The sequence below is a fragment of the Homo sapiens genome, chromosome 5, assembly GCF_000001405.40.
Source record: "Homo sapiens chromosome 5, GRCh38.p14 Primary Assembly".
NCBI classification, from domain to species: domain Eukaryota; kingdom Metazoa; phylum Chordata; class Mammalia; order Primates; family Hominidae; genus Homo; species Homo sapiens.
In genome coordinates, this window is record NC_000005.10 from 122,454,581 (window position 1) to 122,477,654 (window position 23,074).

Below are 23,074 nucleotides of genomic sequence, written 5' to 3' on the forward strand. Positions count from 1 at the left end.
TTTCATTTCTCCTAACCTGGGTTCCTCACCCCTATGCCCTTCTCTGTCCCCATCTTGGGAGGAATGTGTTTTCTGGTGCCTGGAAAATTCTGGTTTTGTCCTTAAGCTGAAGTTACCAGCAACCCCCTGAGGCAAGAAAGCACAAATAGTTGGCAAACTCCTTGGGAAGGGGAAGAATACTTCTTATTTCTTCCAGGCTCCTACAGCAACAGGGAGCAAGACAATTAGTATCACAGTAGATTCTCCTGCCAGAAACATTTCATTCTGTCTTTTTATAAGAAAGGGAACAAAGCTGAGACATCTGTTATAATAGGATTACAAAAATCAGAGCACAAAATGAGGTTATGGGGCTACTCAGTTATCTGATGCTAGGTTAACACTTTCCTTCTCTAAGCTTAAGGAAAAGTCCTTCTAAAGGCTCAGTTTAGATTCACTGGCTTTACTTATTAACAGAGTTTAATTTCAACAATAAATACTTAGAAACCCCAAAATAAAAATATTCACTGTATTTAAATAAGCATCTTGACCCCTTCTCCTCATTACCCTGTAAATTAACCTATACTTTATCATGGTTGTCATTTGGCATGTGTTTCCATAGGAAGTGGAAACCTTAGTTCTTTCATGCTAGAAAGGAGAGGTTTCACTCACTCATAATCACACACAGACAGAGAGAACTAGGCCGGTTCACTCCTGAGATAAAGCAAGAATGGATCTCTCTGGCTGAAATAAAGATTCTTCTGATAAATTAAGACTAGAGTGGGAATGTGGGCCTGAAAAATACCTAGGCTTGCCTAATTTTGCCTATGGGACCCCACTGCAAGAAGGAAAGGAACTAAAGTGTTCATCTCTCAGCTATGACTCCAAATCTTGGCCCCAAAATTTGCTTGACCACCAAATGGCTCCTCTCAGGTAGCAGGGATGCACAGAGTAGTATGACTTTGGAAGTCAGTGGCAGTCATTGGGTTGGAGTTGGGGCCAAATGTTATTGCCTCTACATGGCCCTATCAGCATATCCCTGGGGAAAAGAGTGAGGCGATGGATCCCGGTTCCAGGAATACATTGGAATTCCATTTTAGTTAAAAGAAATTGTTATTTTTTTCTGATAAAGGAAAAATAGGGACAATAAATATAACATTTTTAACATTTTAAAGAATGTCTGCTCTGTGAGGGCTCTGTTTGCTGTTTATTTTTCTAAATTGTTCACAGCTTGATAGCAAAAATCTAAATTTCTTTTCAATGCCCTTTAAAATTAGATTCAACTCTATTCCTTTGAGCAGCATCCCCAGTGTGATTCAACTGTAGAGGATCACTTGGTTTATAACAAGCAGATTTATCTTTACTTTATCTTACAAAAGACAAGTTGTTTTTAAGTTATTGTAACTCCAAGGAAATGTTTGCAATTACTTGTCTTAAAATGCCAGTGAAACATTCATTTCCCAGAGTTTAAGTCCATCTGAGATCTTTAGGGCACAAAGTGAGCAGTGATTCCAGTTACTGATAGGCAAAAGGGCATAACCCCTGGCCACCACCAGTAACACCCACTTTGACCACAGTTGCACAGTTGCCTGAGGGGTTAGGAAACGCCTAATCCTAGCACCAGCATTAGCATAGAGTCCTTAAAAATCATAAAGCAATAAACACCATTAGTGTGGGTTTTACTGCCAAGGTATTAGCCACACTGGGAACTTCATACTGAGAGCCAAGAGCTGGTATCAAATATTTTGCATAGATCTTAAGGTTGTTCAGCAGCCACTTCAAAGAGACTGGTCTGCTTCGCCAGTAGTGAGATGACATCTACTATAGTAATGGTCATCTGCTGTGCCCATTAGAGAGTCAGAGTTTAGGGTATCATTCCCCCACCCCTAACACACACAAACACACATTTCTGTCCTTATTGCCAGGACATCATACTAAACAGAAAAAGGAACAAAGATGTGGAAGACATTGGGAAGTAAAGGTGAGGCCCTGGCTGAAACCTGCTCCCAACCAGAGCATATCCTCAGCCCCACTAAAAAGCATTTCCAGAATCCTGATGGGAAAATGCAGCCAGTGCAACAAGACCCTGGTGCTGCTGAACAAATGTCTCCTTGCCATCATTTCTCTATATATTATCAAATAACCATATTTTAATCTTGCTTTCATTTTTTGACCTTAAAATGTTAACATTATTTTTAACTCATATGCTTGATTCTTGAAAGGATAATGATAAACCTACTCAATCATGTGGGTGTTGTTACCAAACTATGTAATATATGTTGAGTGCATCCTTCCAGAGACAGACAAATCTCACCAATGCAACAGTTCAGAAAAGTTTGTTAAAGCTGTTAATGAAAAAGTATTTAGTAAAGTAGTTGGTGCTTAACACTATAGACATTTGAGTTTTTGCTCAGAAACTGTAGTTTCATGTTTTTTATTTTTGTTTTGTTTTGTTTTGTTTTTGAGAAAGGGTTTTACTCTGTCACCCAGGCTGGAGTGCAGTGGTGCGATCTTGGCTCACTGCAACCTCCACCTCCCAGGCTCAGGCAATTTTCCTGCCTCAGCCTCCTGAGTAGCTAGGATTACAGGCGTATGCCACTACCACCCAGCTAATTTTTGTCTTTTTAGTAGAGACGAGGTTTCACCCTGTTGGCCAGGCTGGTTTTGAACTCCTGACCTCAGATGATCCACCTGCCTCAGCCTCCCAAAGTGTTGGGATTACAAGTGTGAGCCACTGCAACCAGCCTGTAGTTTCATGTTCTAAGCCCTGAACGGAAGTATAATTTTCTGTTTGCCTTTCTAACCTGCTGGCATCAGGCTGCATGCCCAATGAGCAAAAGTTGAAAGACAACAGCCAGGTGCCTGAAGTTGGGTGATTGCCTCTGCTCCAGAAACCCTTAGAGCAGCACTGACCCTCCCAGCTCCCATGCTTCCCCAGGTACTCTGTGCTCTCCCACAGTGTACCCCCAGGTGCTCCGTGGTTCCTCCCCACCAATGCTTCCCCAAGTGTTCTGTCTGTGTCCCCACCCAACCCCGCCAACTCTTTCTCTCTCTCTCACTCTCTCTCTCTTTCCTGCCTCCTCATGCTTCCTTAGGTGTTCTGTGTTCTCTGTCCTGCCCACACCCACCTCAGCCTCGCCTGTAGTTTCAAAGTATTTTCAGAAAGAAAACCCTCATTTTATACCATGACTTGGAGAAGAAGAGGAGGCTCTAAACTTGAACTATTTCTTCACATGAATTAAGCGACAGTTCCTTCTTTCAAATGTGCCAGGTTTTGGGGTTTCTATTGACCATTGCACAGTAGAATTACAGGGAATTGTTGCCAATAAGGCAGAGTCTTGTGTATAAAGAAAAAATGTCCATGTTATGAGAAGCCAGAATGATCACATCTTCCCAGTGTCTAAGCACAATTTAGCAAAGTCTTTATAGAGGCTGGCAGAGTTCCCAAGATGGATGCACAAATGGGGTGTCTTTTCATAAGCTCCTTACACTGGGAAAAGGAGAAAGCAGATTGCACCACAAGAAGACAGTGAAACAGTTTAGTTAGTGTCAAAGTATGATATGTTGAGACATAAAAAAGGCAGGGAAGACCCTCGTACTCTCTTAAATCACTATTCCAGGGAGGCAGGAAATGAATGTGTGGAGTTTGTGAACACCCATGAACCAACAGTAGGAAGACAACAGGAAGAGAACTGCCTTGGACACCAAAATCTTCCCACCAGACCATTTGCTTTCAACAAGCCGCTCCTGATTTAAGGATAGTCAGAAAACCTAAGGACAACTCACTTCTCCACCCCCACCCTCCTTTCCTTATTCCCCAGAGATCCAGTTTTGAATTGTGTGACCTCAAAGCACATACATGTTCTATTAATGTCATATTTGCACCACACGTCTGCCACCACTAGAGGCATCTTTGTACTTTAAAAGAACAGAGCCTGCCTGTATCTCTTAAGGCTGGAGTTTCAAAGAAGCAATAGGTTAGTTGAGTTTAAAAATACCAAATAGAGACTTTACACAGCCACTTTCCAGTGCCTTCATCAAGTATCCTTCCCCCGGCCAGTCACTGGTGCTCTTCGTTCCCACGCTGAGGACAGCGCGGATGGACAATCTTCCTAATGCCACATCCCTGGATGGCCGGGCCACTCTGCAAATATTTTCAGCTCTAAGCCACACATTTTGCTCTGCCAGGATAAGGCCTGATTCCTTCACTCAGGGAGATCATAATCAAGAGAGAATGAAAATAGGATTCAAGTAAAACATGGCAAGCTCTGTGAAAAAGGCCTAAGAGCTTCATGAAAATAGTAATCCCCAATAGCACCTTTGTACTCCACGTGTACTCCCAGTGTCTTGCTTGGTGCCTGGTGCATGATAGAGACTTCATAGATATTTGGAGAGAGGTGAAGCTAGAGAGAGGAAAAGTGGAAGAAGAGAGAAAAATATGAATAAAAAAAGGACTGAGCCTGTCTTCCCACAGCGGGGAAAAATGGTGTGTTCTTTATCAATATTGGCCTTCTGGTCACAAGTCCACCTACCCACAGTGAGTTTCCATTTGGGCACTTCAAATACAAGTTTTCATGCCTTGAACCAAAATCCATTTCTTAGTAGATGAGACTTATAGATGTGCTCTCAGTCAAAACTCTGAGGGAGATCACAGAAAATAGCAAGGTTTCCCTGTTTTGGTTATCAGCGGAAATGTCGTGCGTGCCGTGGACCATTCTACATGGATGCTGTAAGTTGCAGTCTGGTCACCATGGACTGTGGAAATCTGCAATCCATGCCTAGAAGAGTCAGCAAGTTAGAACACTTGAAAAACTGTTATTTAAATTTAAGCTTTTTTTCTTTCCAATTTTGGTCACTCAGAATGTGATTTCATATCCAAAAATGAAATAGAGGAGTAGCAAATTATCTGAATAATTCATGCCAGAATTACCCAAACACTTTCGTTCTTTGAATACTGTTAATTTGGGACTAGGTAATTGAAGGGTTCAGGGAGGATTGAATTATCCTGATATTTTTCAGATAAATGCCTCAAGTTAATATTTTACTTGGTACAGACTTAGCTCTAATCATAAGGGGTTTTGTCCTGCAGAAAGAGTGCTCATTTTAGTGTTTTTGACCACAGCACCTCTTATATTAAAGCAGAAATGCCCATCAAAGTCTAAACTTTATTATCTTTAGACTATGACCAAAACCTTCTTTTAAGTGTTCTATTTTAATTTATTGTTAAAGTGATATAGATACTTATAAGAGTAATACTAGCATTATAATAAAGACTGGATGTGCCCTGTGCCAAACCCACCCCCTTCCCTAGCCTCACTCTTTTGAATCGACCATTCACTTTTCCTTCAGGTGTTTTCTCTAGTATTCTCTATTTCTAAGTAACATGCTCATACAGATTTTCAGTTTCAAATAGTATCCCTGTTATCTACTGGCATTCTACTATAGAAAATCAAAATGATAGCACTTATAAACACTTATAAAGCACGTACAGTATCCCAGAGAATATTTCAGGTGCTTTACACATATGTACTATTTTAATCTTCTCAATGACACTATGTGGCAGATACTTTTTTTTTTTTTTAAGAAACAGGGTCTTGCTCAGTCACCTAGGCTGCAGTGCAGTCGTGTGATCTTGGCTCACAGCATCCTCTAACTTCTGGGCTCAAGAGATCCTCCCACTTCAGCCTCCTGAGCAGCTAGAACTACCAGCATGTGCCACCCCACCCAGCCAAGCAGATACTATTATTATCCTAATTTTGCGTATTGGAAACTGAGACATAGAATGATTACATATCTTGCCCAAGATTACATAGTAATGATGGCAATAAATTGTGGAGCCAGGATTTGAACTCAGTCTGGCTCCTAAATCCGTATTTTTAACAATGATCCAAATGTGTCTAGCTCCATTTTAGCATCCAACAATCCAACACTGCACCTGTTCTCTCTTGTTCTGTCTCTCTCTTTCCCTCTCTTTCCTATCTCTCACACACGCACCTACACACATGCACACATTCCTGCTTCCTCTTCCTCCCACCCCCATGAATATAGTTGTATCACTCTCAAGAGCTAAATCAGTATTCAGTGTTAATTATCATTATGGTTATTTAAATATTAATCACAAGGACTCATTATGTTGTCCTATGTTATATTTTCTTTCTCATACAATTTTATGTTTGCCATGGAAATAATTTTGGTTTCTTAATTTACAATGCGTTTCTAAACACTCTGCTGAAGACCAAACCATCTTTTAGCACCCTCAGACAGCTCAGGTGTTTGTCAGTTACTCTCTGTTCATGGAGACCCCTCCTCCTGCCCCCATCTTCACTGCTGCCTCCTGGCACTGCCACACAGCTATCATCCTGGAGTCTCTCATGCACATCATCCTGGGAATTCCTTGTGCTTCTCTCCTGTTTAGACTCTGTTTCCTGAACCTGTCTTTTCCTTTCTATTTTGTTTATTCTCATGCTTCAGTCATATATCTTCCCACCCAAGGAAGGTAAACAGTTGCTAATTTTTTTGAGACCCTGACAGTCTGAAAATATCTTCAATTTACCAGATTGAGTGTTTGACTCAGTATAGGATTCTAGGTGGGAAATTATTCTCTTTCAGAATCTTGAACACATCATTTCATTTTCTTTTGCTTCTAATGTGTCTGTTGAGAAGCCCTATTCTTCTCTGCCAATGGCTTGGAAGATTTTATGATTTCTTCTTTATCTCCAATATTTTGATTTTTTGATGCTTTGCCATGATGTGGGTCTGTTTTCATTCCTGGGCTGTGGGCACTCAGCAAGCTTTTTCAATCTGGAACCCTCAGTACTTCAGTTCTGGGAAATGTTTTGTACAATTTCTTTGAAAATTTTCTCTTCTCCAATTTCTCTGTTCCCTCTTTTGAAAATCCTCTTATTCTAATGTTAGACACACTGGACTGATCCTCAGATTTTCTAATGATTCTTCTCTATTTTTCCATACTTTGACTTTTTCTAGTTTGAATCTCTAATATATCTACTGAAACTTGCCTTTCAATCTTGCTATTGAATTTTTTATTTCTGTTATAATAATATTAATTTCCAACATCACTTTACTGGTCTTCTCTTTGTTCCTTTTTTATAGCTGTTTTTTTTTTTTTTTCTTTTTCTTTTTGAGACAGAGTCTTGCTCTGTCACCCAGGCTGGAATGCAATGGTGTGATCTTGGCTCACTGCAACCTCTGCCTCCTGGGTTCAAGTGATTCTTATGCCTCAGCCTCCATAACTGGGACTACAGCCACCACACCTGGCTAATTTTTGTATTTTTGGTAGAGACAGGGTTTCGCCATGTTGGCCAAGCTGGTCTCGAACTCCTGACCTCAACTGATCTACCTGCCTCAGCCTCCCAAAATGTTGGGATTACAGGCATGAGCCACCATGCCCGGCTTTTATAGAGTTTTATGTGCAAATCTTATTTAAATTTTTGCAGTCAAATACAAATGCGTATCTTTATCTTCCTTTTTACAATAAAGGTGTCGCACTGTACACACAGTTTTGTTTCTTGCTTTTTTTTATCTGACACGTTGGAGGACTTTATGTGTTAGTATATAGAGAGCTTCTTCATTCTTTAACATAGTTGCTATCATCTTCAGAAGTACACGGTGCTTCTAATTCCTGCATCTGGTAGTGCAAATCAGTTAGTTGGATTCCCTGACTGTAAGCTTGGGTTTTTGCTTTTTCTCCTCTGCTAAATCAACTCTAAATGTTCATCCACCTTTTTGTTTCTGAAATACCATTGACATTTTGTCTGTTGTATCCTCTCCTCCCATTTCCCTTATTCATCTAAATTTGTGCCTTTTTTATTTATTTTATTTCAGTGTTATTTTGCAGGATATGGAGGACAAATGTGTGTATTCAATCCATCATGTTTAATTGGAATCTCTCGCACATCTTTTAGCCAACTAGATTTTTCTTTCACCTCTTCCCTTTCCCTTTCTTGCCCATGGACAGCTCTCTAAAGTTCCAGTTAGAGGAAAAATAAAAATAAGAATTATAACTTTCAGATGATGATGATGATGATCAAATATATTCCAGCACACTGAAAATAGGCTTCATGGTCTTTGTGAGCAAGCACAATTTTGAGACTCTGGAGCCATGCCTGGGGTTCTCCTGCATCCAAATGTGGTCTCATAATAGCTAGTATCATTACCAGAAAGTGTTTTTGTCTGGTGTAGCAACAAGAAGTAATTTAGTAATATGTGGCCTTGTCCACCCTCAGAATATAGCTCCTCTCTGAAGATTTTACACCCAGAATGGGAGTAATACCTCATGAAAATGATTGCACCTACCCAAGGGAAAATTTATTTGAAAAGCAAAGCTGTTCCAAGGCTCGAGTTTGTACTCTTTTCCCGCAGACTTAGCAGGTATCAAGTACTGAGGGAAAAGGAGCATATTGTTCTTTAGCTTTTTCTTTTTCCCATAGATTTATCTACTTATGATCTTTCAACATGCTATTACTCAGTAATCACACACCAAAAAGCATTCTTCTTTAAACTTTTAAGGCTCAAGCTTATTGGAGAATAAAAGTGTCACCAGTGAATCTATCTAAATAAAATAAAAATATTTTGTTTATACTCAGCCAACAATACTATACTTCCTATCTTGTTTAACTTTGATAAAATTCCCTTGACTGTAAAATGCCTGTATTTCAATCAGTATGGTTGAGAAATTATTTCCATAGCTGAGTTAAAGAGTGTTTAGTAACTGTGTGTTATTACATGACTATTGCTTTCATTGTTTAAAGAGTAGTTTACATGAAAAGAGAATAATTTGCGTATTGGAATGAAGTGTTCTTCAGTGTGGTTTGTGTGAGGATAATTTCCATTTTTTGGTGAGCTGTTTAGTGGTATTGTCTTGTAACTTGACCATAGTTTTATCTAATTTTGGCCTGTGGTTTCTCTTCTGCTTAGGCATAATGACATCAATAGAAAAATGAAGAAATCCTACAGCATAAAGCACATTGCTGAGCCAGAGTCAAAAGAACTCTTCTTGTAAATCACTTTTTAAATTTTCTCTCACTGATGCCCTTTGGAAATTATTGGAAATTTCTGGACTATCCTCTTTGGAAAGAGAACCATGAAAACAATGCCTCACCAGCAGAAGAACAGAATATCAGGATGCCTTAAATTTATAGTAGTAGACTGTAAAAGATTCATTTTGGGGTGATATCTGTATATATAACTTGTTTTTTTAAAAGATGCCGTTTAAAAGCATGATTGGGAAAATGTATGTTTTTTAAGAGTAGATTGATTCACCCTACCCACAGGACATTCACCAAGCCACTGATACCATTTTATATTTCATCAATTGCATGAGTATTTGCTAATGTTGATTGAACCTCCCTTTCCCCATAATGTGGGCAGATTTGGCTCAGCTCCTTCATGAGATCAGGTCAGTGGTATTGTTTCTGTCAAGAGTGTTTTTTCTGTCATTTCTACTTTTTGTATAAAGGAAATAAAACAATGTTAACAGCCACCTATAAGCTTGGGGCACCTACTTTCTAACAAATCTGTGATGTTCTGATTTCTAAGGGACTTTGCAAGTATTTTGATTGCTGATATTTGATTTCAGGAACAAACTGCTCAGTTTAGCAGTTTTCCCATAGGCGTCAAATAAAACATTCTATATTTCATTAAGTACTAAAGGATCAGACAAGTATATAAAGTAAGTCAGTTCCTTCTGCCTTCTCAAATCTCAGTGTTGACATGGGAAAATATTAAGGAGAACTAAGGATTTAGCCCCTTCTTGGGTCACTTTTTTCTGCCTCTGACACATTATGAGACCTGTCTAATCCCTTTAGGAGACAGTGTGGAGCCCGAGTTCATAACAGCCCCATTGTTGATGCAACTCCTTCACTCCATGTAAGCGGTAAGTTCCAGAAGGCTTCCTCCTATCATGTAAAAATATATTTCTGTTGAAACTTCAAGAGTTTTATTTTCAAAGTGTTGGCATGGCCTATAAGAGGCCTGTCAAGTTTTAGTTTAAAAGTAGAATGTATTCTTACCAGTAGGAGGGAACACTGTATGCTATTATAGTTAGTAGCAATGTTACTGCAGCCAAATCAGTTGAATGTGAACCATTCCTGTATCCTGGTGCAGAGAGCAGATAAAATCACTGAATTAAGAGATAATCTTGCATATGTAGGTCATCTGACAAACTTGGGCTTGATGAGATGCAATTAGGTATAGAATGAGCTAATAATACCTTAGTGCCTTTTATGTACCAGACACTATTATGTGGCGATGTTACTACTCTCATTTTATAGATTAGAAAACAAAAGTTTGAAATGTCTTAAGACCTGGTTCCCAGGTAACACTACCAGTAAATCGTATAACTAGGCTTTGGTATGTATTTGCCTATTATCCCCACTGCACTAATGAACCTACACTGTGCTGTCTCCCTAGTGCACTGACTGCTGGACTCGCACACAGGAGGCATGAGTTCTGGTGTTGGCTCTTCTTCTAACAGCCCTTTGATCTCAGGAAAGGGACGTTGCCCTGCCCAAGAAATCTGGAAAGGGCAAGACAGGCCTACATGCACATCGAGGAGAAGTTTCCTTTCGAACTTACAGAGCAACACATCTGTGAATTTCAGTCCATGTGCTATGTCCTTGTCCGGGTCCTGTGAGTTGCTACTGTTAGAGCCTGGTGCCATGTGTGAACCTTCATTTATCACATGGTCTTTTTCTCAAACGAGATGCCCTCGCTCTGATTTATGGCCCCTTGGCCCTATCCACCCACTTTGATTTCTTCCTCATATTTCACTACTTTGTCCTATTGCTTGAGATTCTAATAGAGAATTTATGGCAAGCACATGTGAAATGTAGACTCCTGTGTTTTCTTTCTGCTTAGTGCAGAGGAGGTGATGGTGAGGTCACACAGCCCACTTTTGGGATTTGGCCAAAATGAAGCCTCAAAGAAAGAGGACCCAGCGAGTGCTCTCTATGTCTCCCAGAGGTCCCAGTTTTGTTCTTAAACTGTGTTTTTAAATGTGAAAGATGAAGGGGGCTAGGCAGAGATTTCATAAGCCACATAGAGTTCCCAATTAAACATAGCAAAGAAAATTTCAAGAGTTTGAAAGAAAGAGATGTTACTTTGACTTAGAAAACCCTGGCAATTCAGTTGTTCAGTGACACTAGCATTTTAGCTTCTGCAGTATGAGTACAAAAGAGCAAAGAATAAAAAAGGTAAAATAGGGAAGTTGAGCAGATTCAGATCAGCCCAAGAAATCTGGGCTGATAATGCATTCTGTTTAATGATGCTGCTAGGATACTAAAAATAATGGCCCTTAAATTATACATGTACCTATCTTTACTGTCTAAGTTCCTTATGAAATTGATACATTATGGTTGCTTGAAATTAGTACAAATGATGTTTTCCTTACAACAAACTTAGTTTTGTCCACCATTTTTTAAATGAAAATACACAAAACTCGTTTATTTTTTTCTAGAAATTGAGAAGCATTAGCATGTTAAAGAAAGTGAGAGTGCGTTTCCTTTTAGTGAGCAGAGCTTTGAGGCCCCTGTCCCAACTGCCACCCAATGGGCTAGTAAAATGAGTAAAGCTCTATCTGCATGCCTAATTACATGCAGCAGAGTAGGAAACTCAGCTCCATTGTAAAAAAAACAATCACATCTGTCAGCATCTTTTAAAGACTGGCTTCTTTTATGTCACTAAAGGGACTTATATTGCCAAAGTTCAACGCAGCAAATTAAGAATGTTTCTTAGAAAAGATAACAAGATACCAAACTGTCACCGCTTTCAGTGGATTAAATTCCCATTATTTATTCTTGTAAAACAGTATCAAGACTTCAAATCAAATAAGAAAGTTCTAGATGTGCATCACAGGGTTGGAAGTGGGGATGAGGCTTTCAAAAGATATCTTCAAGTAAGACTGACAATTAATTATTTTTCTCAAAATGAATAATTATAAGCAAAATTATGGTACAGGCTAGAGGAAATAATTATAAATATTTAAATAACTCCCTAAAAGACTCCTTGATACAAACTAGATTCAATATTTTTTCTTCAGCAGCCACCTATATCCTTAATGTTGAATTAAGTTAATAGAGCTAAGTAAGCCTAAGGAACTACTGCAACAGAGTTGGTACCATTGCTCCTCATAAAAAATGGAATTCACGCTTAGCCTATAACTCTCATTGGTTGATAGGTCTGTCATTATTGTTATGTTATCTCAGTATTATTTCCCTTTATTCTTTAACTATTGCATAGTTTTATGTAACTTTTCAAGCACTTGATTCCTGTCTCCTAATGAGACCAAAAATTTGTTAATCTCAACAGAATCTTAGTATCACCTCTCACAGATGGTGTTTAGTATCTACTAACAACTTACAGCCATCTTTCTTTTCATTTCCTCCCCAGTCTTCTTCTATTCTCTCCTTGTCCTCCTTTTCTCTCTCTCTTCCTCCTTCCTTCTCTCCCTTACTCTCTCCCCTCCCTCCCTCTTTGCTGTCATCTTCCCTCCTTTTTTCTCTCTCTCTTCTCTGCCTTCTGTTTACAAGATCACTAAACCCTATATATATGGGATCTTCCTTGAAAGAAACCTGGCAAAGAAATTGCAGTAAGTACACATGTGCTGGACCAGGTTTACAGTGAAAAGCAAGTTGCTTCTCCCTTCTTGCCAGAGCATGTGAGTGGGACAAGTGTCCCACATGCTGATATATTCAACACACTGTGATTGAACCCATGCCAAAGAATGAGGCCCTGTGCTAGGCATTCCATTTGAACAAAAAAGACCTGGAAGTTGGTATCAGCCATAGTAGCAACAAAGATAGATAAGTCTACCAAATTGTGCATTTGGAGAGACTTGTGGAAAAAACTGTTGCAACTGGTCTATAGCAGTGATTCCCAAATTTTGCTGTACATTATACCACCTAGGGGAGCTCTTAAATATTGGATGCCCAAGCTAAACCCCCAACAAATAAATCCCCTCTCTGTGGTGGAACCTAGGCCTCAGTATTTGTAAAGAAGAAGACGAAGAAGAAGAAAAAGAAGAAAGAAGGAGGAGGAGGAAAGAAGGAAGAAGGAGAAGAACAAATATTAGGATTTCCATATGCAACCAGATTTAAGTTAACAATAATTATACATATTCATGGGGTACATAGTAATGTTTGGAACCATATCATTTACAGCGATCAGGTCATGGTACTTAGTATATCCATCACCTCAAATACTTAACACTTCTTTGTGCAACTAAGTTTTAAAACCAGCACCTTGCTAACTCAAAACGTGGTCAGAACCCATCAGCATTGGCATCGGCTGGGAGCATGTTGCAATGCAGAATCTTCTGGCATTCACCATGGCTTCCACTTTTAATTTTGTGATTCTGTGAGCTGTCTATCAAGAAAATATTTCAGAAGAATAGGCAAAAAATTACCCTGACCTCAAAGAGAAATGAAGAGTAGTATATCCCTAAACCTGGGGTAGAATGTGGAGAAGAACCTATTTTGTGTTTTAAGGGAGTGTGTGTAATATGTATACAATTTGAAAATCATGTTCCATGTTGTAATTCACATGTTGGAAATTTTGTAAATCCTAAAGTTATAGAAAGTGAAACTTCTTTTCTGGAGGGGAGAGGTAGAAGACACAGCAATAATTTTTCAATCCAGGATAGGGTCATTACACTTTTATGTTTAAACATAATGTAGCTAGGTTTTCACTTGTTATGAAATATTTCTCTAAATTTCCTAAAATCAATGTTTATAGAAGTCAAATCACCAGAAAACGACTCATTATGCAGTAGCATAACCAAGACAAAGCACACTCAAAGCAAAGACCAAACCCCACCTCTCAATACCATTTCCTAGCTGCTACTGGAGGGGCTCTTCTTGATAAACCACCAAGATATATGATATTTTATTACCTTGTTGCTTAGGACACTGTTATATGTCAAACATATTATTTTGTACACACCACACACACACACATGCTGAATGCCTACCATGTACACAGCTCTGCCCCAAGTGGTGGAAGTAAATTAGCGATAAATTCATAAGAAATATTTTTGATGAAATGTGGAAAGTCTTAATTAAACAGAATGAATCTGAGAAGTACAGTGATCTGTCATGATGTTATACTCATATATGTATTTTATAACTGTATATTTTTTCTGTGGAATTTGTTCTCACAGTTGTTCAGCCAATTAGGAACAATGGCAGAAGAATTTAAATTCTATTATTTGTGGTAGAAAATACTAGTTATCTCCTCAATGTCCTTTCTCCCTTTCTTCTGATTAAAAGAACACAGTTAAATGTTCCCAGGTAAAATTACTTTCCCAGATGCCATTGAAACTGGGAATGGCCATGTGACTCAATCTGGCCAATGAGAGGGAAGTGGAATTCGTAGAGTGGGGCTTTAGAGAATCTTGTAGAGGACAAAGCTTACCTGGCACTCATCTTTTGCCCTTTGTACTACTGTGGGATACAGCACTGCTTCTTTAGCCATAAAGACAAAAGTCAGATTCTTTAAAAAAAAGAAAAAAAGGAAAGATAAGGAACCCAGCTCCTTGTGCAGCTATGTGAGCCCTGAATTGTACATATTACTTATTGAGTAAAAAAACTCTCCTAATTGACTAAATCACTGATATCTGTCTTCTGGTAGGAGCAGCCAAATATACAACCTAACTGAAATACTCAATTGACAGAATAAAGAATACACCACTGGAATAAAGCAGCATTTCACAAATCATATTCTATTTACCACTAGGACTAGGGGATGTTTGGCTATGCTCCAGGATTAATGTATATTTTGCTAATTAGTTAGGTAAACAGTGCATACAAAGTCCTGACATACACTGTGAAGCCCCACCTTCAGAAACAAAGGACATAGTCCCCCAGCTGCTGGCGGTACTGCTGGCCCAGAGCTTTCAGGTCTTAGCCTTCTCCAGGAACTGCCCTTGGCTGAAGAAAGTCACCTTGCCCAAGAGCACAACCTTTCCCTGGGCAGCCCATATCCAGTAGTGGTCAATGTGCAGGTATATAGACCCAGCCCCTAACATAACTTTGGACAATCCCAGAAAGCCATCCCAGCTTCAGACCTCCCCCACGGGTTTGTCCCAACTTCTTCCTCTACCTGACACAGCCTCTTTCTCTTCCGTAATATAGACGTTGATCCCAAGAGCCATCTATAATAAACTTCCTGCACATTAATCTCTAGGTCAGAGTCTACTTACCAGGGAATCCAGTCTGTAATGATATATTATCATGTTCATATCTCGAAGAAGTCCCAGAGTACAAAAGAAACTTGTTTAATTGGGTTGGGTGCTTAAACTGATTTATAAACCAGAGGTCTTTTAGAATACCTTTCACATCCCCCAGAGTGATTTCTACTAATGTTTAGTTTAGGATGTGCTGGAATCAATTTTAGGTCATTACACATATATGGAATTTAGACTATTCTAACTATCATGAAAGCCCAATGTCAAATCAAAATGTGTATACCGGAACAGAGCTATTAAGCCAAATGTCAAAGAAATGCAGCCAAAGTTATATTCTATTTGGATATAATTTTGTGGTCATTATTATTGAAATGTACCATTTCCAGGGTCCTTCCAAAAGCTATGGGCTCAAATTCATTTCACTGCTGATGGTTAAACTACACCCTAAGTTTCCATAGAAATGTCATCTATAAACTATGGCATTTATCAAAAATCAATATAAGAAATAGTCATATAGAAAAAAGTTTCCATATATTTTTTATAAAACTCTTATTGAAACCATCATATATTTTAAAATTCAATGGCTCTATAAGGGGCCATAAAATAAATTCCTCTTAGAGTTAGTACTAGAGAAAAAAATGCTTCTATAGGAAAAACTGGCATGCTTCTTTTTATTAGCTAATAAGAACCTTATATAACTCGTGTTTTCCCTTTTTGTCTTGCTTGCCAGGAAAAGGTCAAAAGCAAAGTTTGCATTTAATCTCAGTAGCAATCCTTAGCCTAGTTTTTTCTGGTATAACAAGCTGTCTCCAACTCCACCCTCTTCCTTTGTTCTTACATTTTTATCCTGTTTAATGGCTGTAACACACCTATGTCTTCTATTTTAAAGACCTTCTGAGAATAAGTAGGCTGAAATAAAAATAAATGTTTCCATCGTGTTTTTTCCACCCTACCTTTCTATCTGCCCAATCCTGCCCCTTTGTTTTATTTATTAGGTTGGTGCAAACATAATTGCCATTACCTTTAATGGCAAAAACTGCAATTATGTTTGCAGCAACCTAATAACTGATGTTGAAGTCCACACCAATTGTGTGTGCAAGGCAGTGCTGATTCAAAGTGTAAGACAATTGTTATCTTCAAGTTGCTTACTGTCTGTGGACGCTGGGAGAAATCACATACGCAAATATATAAAGTGCAAGACAAAAAACAATATGTGTGGAGGGACTCAATGTAGCTGAGAGGAGGGAGAAACCACTTTTGGTTTGGCTGAGGCCAAGCAGGTGCCCTGTAAGGTTTGCATTTAATAGAGGCTGACCAATATATACTCAGATGCAGTGACTGGCTGCCCATGTCCACATGTAATGTGATTAAGTGTCAAAATGAGAATCACAGATAGGAGCATAGTACTACGTGTTCACAGCCAAATGGCCTTACTGGTAGCTTGTCAAGCTCAGAGAATCTTGGAAAAGAGTCAAACAGCCCTTAATATTTTCCAACCTACAGACAGGTGGGCAGAGATTCAAAAGGGAGTTCTCTGTTTAATTCGTCTCCTTGCTCTGACCCAGATCCAGGGCCTTAGTCCTAGATCCTGAGAGTCCCTCTAAGGAGCACTCCACGTCAATGCAATGTACCCCTCCTTGTGGCAGCCCTGAATTACCCCGCTAAGAGCTCTCTGCAAGAAAGCCTGCTGTAGGGACACCTTCAGCTCTATTGTGCGCTCACCCCAAGGCCAGTGACTGAGCACAGCAGAGGGATGACAGCCAGGGCATATCCTCCCACCCTGAGACTCTTCCAAGGGCAAACTGTGGTCTGGGACTCCCCTTGACCTGGCTAAATTTTTTTCTGAATGTGTTGCAGTCTAGAGCTCTTCCTACCCCATCCTCCTTCCGAGCCACTCTCACAGTATCAGAAAGACGTTGCTGCCTACACCTGCGCCCTCCTCCTTTATCCTTCAGAGGCAAGGCCCGTAATAAATCTCTTGCACATCTAGTCCCATTTGGAGGGCTGCTTCTCAGACCGCCTGAACTGACACGCTCCCCTGACCCTCCTCCTCACCCTCATCCTTCTACTCCCCCTGTTTTTCCAAGGGTCAGCCTCCTCCTGGGTTAAGCACTCACCTTGGGCTGTCCTTTCTCGCTACTCTCTCTCCCTCCCCTGCTGGGTACGGTGGTAGTTTGGGGTGAGGATGGTGCTTAAGATCCTATAAGTGGAGGGGGCAGTGGCACAGGCCTTCTCTCCTCTCCGCAAAGATTAACTTAGTGCTGATATCTATGTCTCCTGTAACTTATGCTGAGTCTATTTCCTTTCTCAACTTGAGTTGTATTACAAAGAGCCATCTGCTGTTCGCTTATGCCTCATAAGTTCCAGGTTCAAGGACCAGGTTTTGGCTTAGTGGGAGGAAGACAGGCTAGTGGGGTGGGGGCAGGTGATATGTGATTGAGGAAGACTCACCCTACAGCACAGCTAAAATATGTTATCTGCATTCAAAAAAATAAATAAATAAAGGTTAGTAAGAGGTAGAAGAGAACTTCTGCTTTACATTAAGCTCCCTGCAATTTTTTTCTTCTCACGTTTCTTGTCTCTTACTCAAAAAATTTTGCTGTTTGTAGGTGAATAACTCATAGTTGTTGTCTCTTCCCTTAAGTTTCTCTCTCACATAATCACTCTCCATATTTACATTAATTTAGCACAAGAAACAAGTAAGCAAGTTACTAAAGTTGTTATCTATCGTTGTTGATAGCATGGATTTTCTTAATTCATCTATGTTGAAAAAGATGTACTTTTAAAAATAAATATACTTAAAGTTTTAATAAACTAGTTACAGGCAGTAAATAGCAGGTATGGGGAGTAAATATTAAGTTAGATTGAGAAGTTACTAGTCATTATATTGGTGGTTGCCTTTTTCAGCACACATGTAGGACTAATTGTCATAGCCAATTTCCAAAACCTGTAAAGACTTCAAGAAGGGAACCATTCTATTTGTGTCTTGTCTGACTGGGTTACTGGCATCCTGGCTACAGACCTCCATGTCTCTCTGGACCTGCACACACATCTGCAAGACAATTCTGGGATGTCATATTCCCAACAACTGCTGGATTGTAGTAAGTCTCCAGCAGGAAGCAATTCATCATTAAGCTTTAGAGGAATAAGAAGAGAATGGAAAATCCTTCTTTCTGCTTATATGTACAATAGCCACATTCCAAGTGAATGCCTAGATATTGTTCCTTTCCAGACTTAAACTCTGACAACCCAGAAAAATCACACCTCTGATTTTAGGGCCATTTTGCTGGGACTTACCTAGGCCCAATGGACACTTAAAAATAATCACTTTATTTAAATATCCTTCAGCCTCCTTCCAGACATGTTTCACAGGCCGAGCTTCCCCTTTCTCCTGTGTTCCTTTTGTTTTCCAGACACACCACAAACCAAAAGGAGCACACGGCCTGTGTTATACAAAATGTGCAGGAACAGGGTTTCTTGAGTGGCTACCCAATTAAGTAAATCTCCTTGCCTGGAGGAAACTAAGTTAAAATAACATTGAGGTCTGTCCCCAAGCCCGCAAAAGAGAAGAAAATGTAAAACCAGAGCTGAAAATTTCCTCTGTTGTGCAATGAGTATTGCAGAATGAGAACTCTCAGATGAAGTTTCAAGGAAGTATTAGCATTTTCCAAAGCACAAGTTCAGAGCACCCCAGTCTCCTAAATGTTGCAGGTTTGGCTGACATTAGTTTTTGGAAGATTACACTGTTAGAAACCATCAGCAATAAAGTGACTACTTGCTATTATAGCCTCTTATTTTATTATATGGTCAAGAGGATTTTCTCTTCTGCTTTTCAGTAATAAACACATGTTGAGAAAGTATGGTATGCTGGGCAGAGACCTGAGAGATCAGCTGCCTCCCAGGTGTTTCCGGACGTAGCTCATACACATGATTCCAGACACACGAAAGCATGCACCTTCTTTACTAAACCTGCAGACAATGAGATTCCACTATCCTTACTGACATTTTTAGGTTGGTGCAACCATTAATGCAAACAGTCTTTCTCCAGGCATAATCATTTCTATGGGCCTACCTGCACAGAAATGTTCCAATTTGAACCGAGTCACTTGACCAAGACAAGTACCCAATCCAGTACAAGTATAGAAAGGGGGGGAAGAGTCAATTCTAAAAGCAGAGAATTGTAAGAGAGGGATTGAATAGCTCTTTTAGTGTAAGAATTGGCACTTCATATTTTAACCATAAAAGAACTAAAATATATCCCTCATAAAGCCACATTTTATTGGTATGTATGTGGTTCAATAAGGTAAAAACCACCTTAAAGCTAATAAATACTTCATATTCTCCTTGACCTGTGGAATAAATACCCGTGAAGGACAAAGTTCTTGGGATTATGCATCATCTTGTTGGTAAATTTCCAATAAGTCAATGGTTAAGGCATCACACTAAAACAGGCAGTCTTTTTTTTTTTTTTTTTTGTGAGCAATAAAGCTGTTTATTTCACCTGGGTGCAGGTGGGCTGAGTCCGAAAAGAGAGTCAGCGAAGGGAGATAAGGGTGGGGCCGTTTTATAGGATTTGGGTAGGTAAAGGAAAATTACAGTCAAAGGGGGTTTGTTCTCTGGCGGGTAGGAGTGGGGGTCGCAAGGTGCTCAGTGGGGGAGCTTTTTGAGCCAGGATGAGCCAGGAAAAGGACTTTCACAGGGTAATGTCATCAGTTAAGGCAAGGACCGGCCATTTACACTTCTTTTGTGGTGGAATGTCATCAGTTAAGGTGGGGCAAGGCATATTCACTTCTTTTGTGATTCTTCAGTTACTTCAGGCCATCTGGGCGTATACGTGCAAGTCACAGGGGATGCGATGGCTTGGCTTGGGCTCAGAGGCCTGACATTCCTGCCTTCTTATATTAATAAGAAAAATAAAACAAAATAGTGTTGAAGTGTTGGGGCGGCGAAAATTTTTTGGGGGGTGGTATGGAGCGAGAATGGGCGATGTTTCTCAGGGCTGCTTCAAGCGGGATTAGGGGTGGCGTGGGAACCTAGAGTGGGAGAGATTAAGCTGGAGGGAGGTCGTGTGGTAAGGGGTGATATTGTGGGGATGCTAGAAGAAACATTTGTCGTATAGAATGATAGGTGATGGCCTGGATACGGTTTTGTATGAATTGAAAAACTAAATGGAATAACAGAAGGAGAAAAACAGGTATAAAAGGTCTAAGAAATGGGACGACTTGATGTCTGATTAGAGAGTGCTTAAGGAGATTTGGCATAGTCCTGCCAGCAAAGATTATTTATTTACTTCAAGAGTTAAGAGTGGCAGTTTGGGGATAGCACCAGGAGATATCAGCTGTGATGGCTTGGAGAAACAGTGTAAACAAGAGCAGGGCAGGTATGAGTAGTTGAGAAGGGTGAATAGGAGTATGGCTAGACAGAAAATAGTAGGGATGACAAGTTTTTTGTTTTTTTTTTTTTTTTTTGAGGCACAGTCTAAGTTGGTCTGGTGTCTGGAATGAGACTGGGGCCTAATAAAAAGGAGCGTCTATACAGGACCTTAAATGGGCTGTACCCTGTAGCATTCTGAGGACAGGCCTGAATTCTGAGAAGGGAAAGTGGTAAAAAGTATTGTCCAGTCCTTTTTAAGTTGGTGGCTGAGCTTGGTGAGGTGTGTTTTTAAAAGACCTTTAGTCCATTCTACTTTTCTTGAAGATGGAGGACCATAAGGGATATAAAGGTTTCACTCAATACTAAGAGCCTGAAAAACTGCTTGGCTGATATGACTAATAAAGGCTCATCTGTTATCAGACTGTATTGAGGTGGGAAGGCTAAACTGAGGAATTATGTCTGACAGAACAGAAGAAATGACTGCGGTGGCCTTCTCAGACCCTGTAGGAAAAGCCTCTACTTATTTTGAGGGCCTCTAAAAGTATTAAAGCAGCGGCAGCCACTGCACGCAGACATGAGGGCTAGGCTAAAACAGTAAGGTCAAGTTGTTTGGACAGAAAGGCTACAGGGTGTGGTCCTGGCTCTTGTGTAAAAACTCTGACCGCGCTAACCATGCCTAGGAAGGAAAGGAGTTTTGTAGAAGGTGCTTGGGTTTGAGAGATCAGTCGGACACGATTGGCAGGGAGAGCACGTGTGTTTTTATGAGAATTATGCCGAGATAGGTAACAGATGAGGAAGAAATTTGGGCTTGATGGAAGTAATGGGGGCTGTCTGTGAAGCTTTGCAGCAGTACAGCCTAGGTAATTTGCTGAGCTTGATGGGTGTCAGGGTCAGTCCAAGTGAAAGCGAAGAGAGGCTGGGATTAAGGGTGCAAATGAATAGTAAAGAAAGCATGTTTGAGATCTAGAACAGAATAATGGGTTGTAGAGGCAGGTATTGAGGATAGGAGAGTATATGGGTTTGGCACCACGGGGTGTATAGGCAAAACAATTTGGTTGATAAGGCGCAGATCCTGAACTAACTTGTAAGGCTTGTCTGGTTTTAGGACAGGTAAAATGGGGGAATTGTAAGGAGAGTTTATAGGCTTTAAAAGGCCATGCTGTAGCAGGCGAGTGATAATAGGCTTTAATCTTTTTAAAGCGTGCTGCGGGATGGGATATTGGTGTTGAGTGGGGTAAGGGTGATTAGGTTTTAATGAGATGGTAAGGGGTGCATGATCGGTCGCCAAGGAGGGAGTAGAGGTATCTTATACTTGTGGGTTAAGGTGGGGGGATAGAAGAGGAGGACACAAAGGAGGCTTTGGATTGGGAAGAAGGTCAGCAATGAGATACAGCTGTAGTCCAGGAATAGTCAGGGAAGCAGATAATTTAGTTAAAGTGTCTCAGCCTAATAAGGGAACTGGGCAGGTGGGGATAACTAAAAAGGAGTGCTTAAAAGAGTATTGTCTAAGTTGGCACCAGAGTTGGGGAGTTTTAAGAGGTTTAGAAGCCTGGCCGTCAATACCCACAACAGTTATGGAGGCAAGGGAAACAGGCCCTTGAAAAGAGGGTAACGTGGAGTGAGTAGCCTCCGTATTGATTAAGAAGGGGACGGGCTTACCTTCCACTGTGAGAGTTACCCGAAGCTCGGCGTGCGTGATGGTCTAGGGGGCTTCCGAGGCGATTGGGCAGTGTCAGTCTTCAGCCGCTAAGCCGAGAAGATCTGGGAAGGAGTCGGTCAGAGAGCCTTGGGCCAGAGTTCCAGGGGCTCTGGGAGTGGCTGCCAGGTGAGTTGAACAGTCCGATTTTCACTGGGGTCCCACACAGATGGGATACGGCTTAGGAGGAATCCCGGGCTGCGGGCATTCCTTGGCCCAGTGGCCAGATTTCCGTCACATGTAGCAAGCTCCTGTGGGAGGAGGTTCTGGAGGAACGCCTGGCCGCTGCAGTTCAGGCGTTTGGAAGTTCTTGTGTGCTGGAGATGTGGCTGGGGTTTGTCTCACAGTGGAGGCAAGGAATTGCAACTTTTTTCTATTATGGTACACCTTGAAGGCGAGGTTAATTAAATCCTGTTGTGGGGTTTGAGGGCCGGAATTTAATTTTTGGAGTTTTATTTAATGTCGGGAGCAGATTGGGTAATAAAATGTATTTTGAGAATAAGACGGCCTTTTGACCTTTTAGGGTCTAGGGCTGTAAAGTGTCTCAGGGTTGCTGCCAAACAAGTCATGAACTGGGCTGGATTTTTATATTTGATGAAAAAGAGCCTAAACGCTATCTGATTTGGGATAAAGAAAAAGGAGCATTAACTTTGACTATGCTTTTAGCTCCAGCCACCTTTTTAAGAGTAAACTGCTGGGCAGGAGGGGGAGGGCTAGTCACGGAACAAAACTGTAAGCCGGACCAGGTGTGAGGAGGGGAGGTGATAAAAAGATTATAGGGTGGAGGAGCAGAGGCTGAGGAAGAATTGGGACCTAGCTCGGCCTGGCGA

General features: G+C 40.5%; 1 protein-coding gene and 2 long non-coding RNA genes across 51 annotated transcripts in view, besides 1 other annotated feature; 1 reads left to right on the plus strand and 2 right to left on the minus strand.

Moving 5' to 3' along the window:
* The window catches only part of SNCAIP (synuclein alpha interacting protein), a 152,867-nt gene extending 143,228 nt beyond the window's left edge, over positions 1-9,639 (plus strand). For 44 of the 49 annotated variants that reach the window (NR_131762.1, NR_131761.1, XM_006714734.3 and 41 more), the window contains one exon: positions 8,911-9,639. Coding sequence is in view for 47 of the 49 variants with exons in the window: in XM_006714734.3 (XP_006714797.1) it covers positions 8,911-8,995 (85 nt within the window). In the remaining 2 variants the exon portion in view is untranslated. Of the gene's footprint in view, positions 1-1,901; positions 3,063-8,910 lie in introns of those variants that run through there. The other 5 variants (XM_017010080.2, XM_047417922.1, XM_017010079.2 and 2 more) reach the window with 3 other exon arrangements.
* Positions 1-23,074, minus strand: part of SNCAIP-AS3 (SNCAIP antisense RNA 3) — a 42,591-nt gene that overhangs the window by 18,084 nt on the left and 1,433 nt on the right. The window lies entirely within an intron of this gene.
* LOC107986446 (uncharacterized) lies at positions 10-22,247 on the minus strand. The gene is made up of 3 exons (XR_001742867.2): positions 22,208-22,247; positions 14,404-14,481; positions 10-4,754 (listed from the first exon to the last, which is right to left on the minus strand). It is a non-coding gene; the product is annotated as an uncharacterized LOC107986446 (long non-coding RNA).
* Positions 19,587-20,415: an enhancer, noted in NCBI's record as "OCT4-NANOG-H3K27ac hESC enhancer chr5:121809862-121810690 (GRCh37/hg19 assembly coordinates)". NCBI's record gives its function as "activates a minimal SCP1, AML or CMV promoter by ChIP-STARR-seq in naive and primed H9 embryonic stem cells {active_cell/tissue: H9 hESC(naive and primed)}" and the evidence as "EXISTENCE:reporter gene assay evidence [ECO:0000049][PMID:30033119]".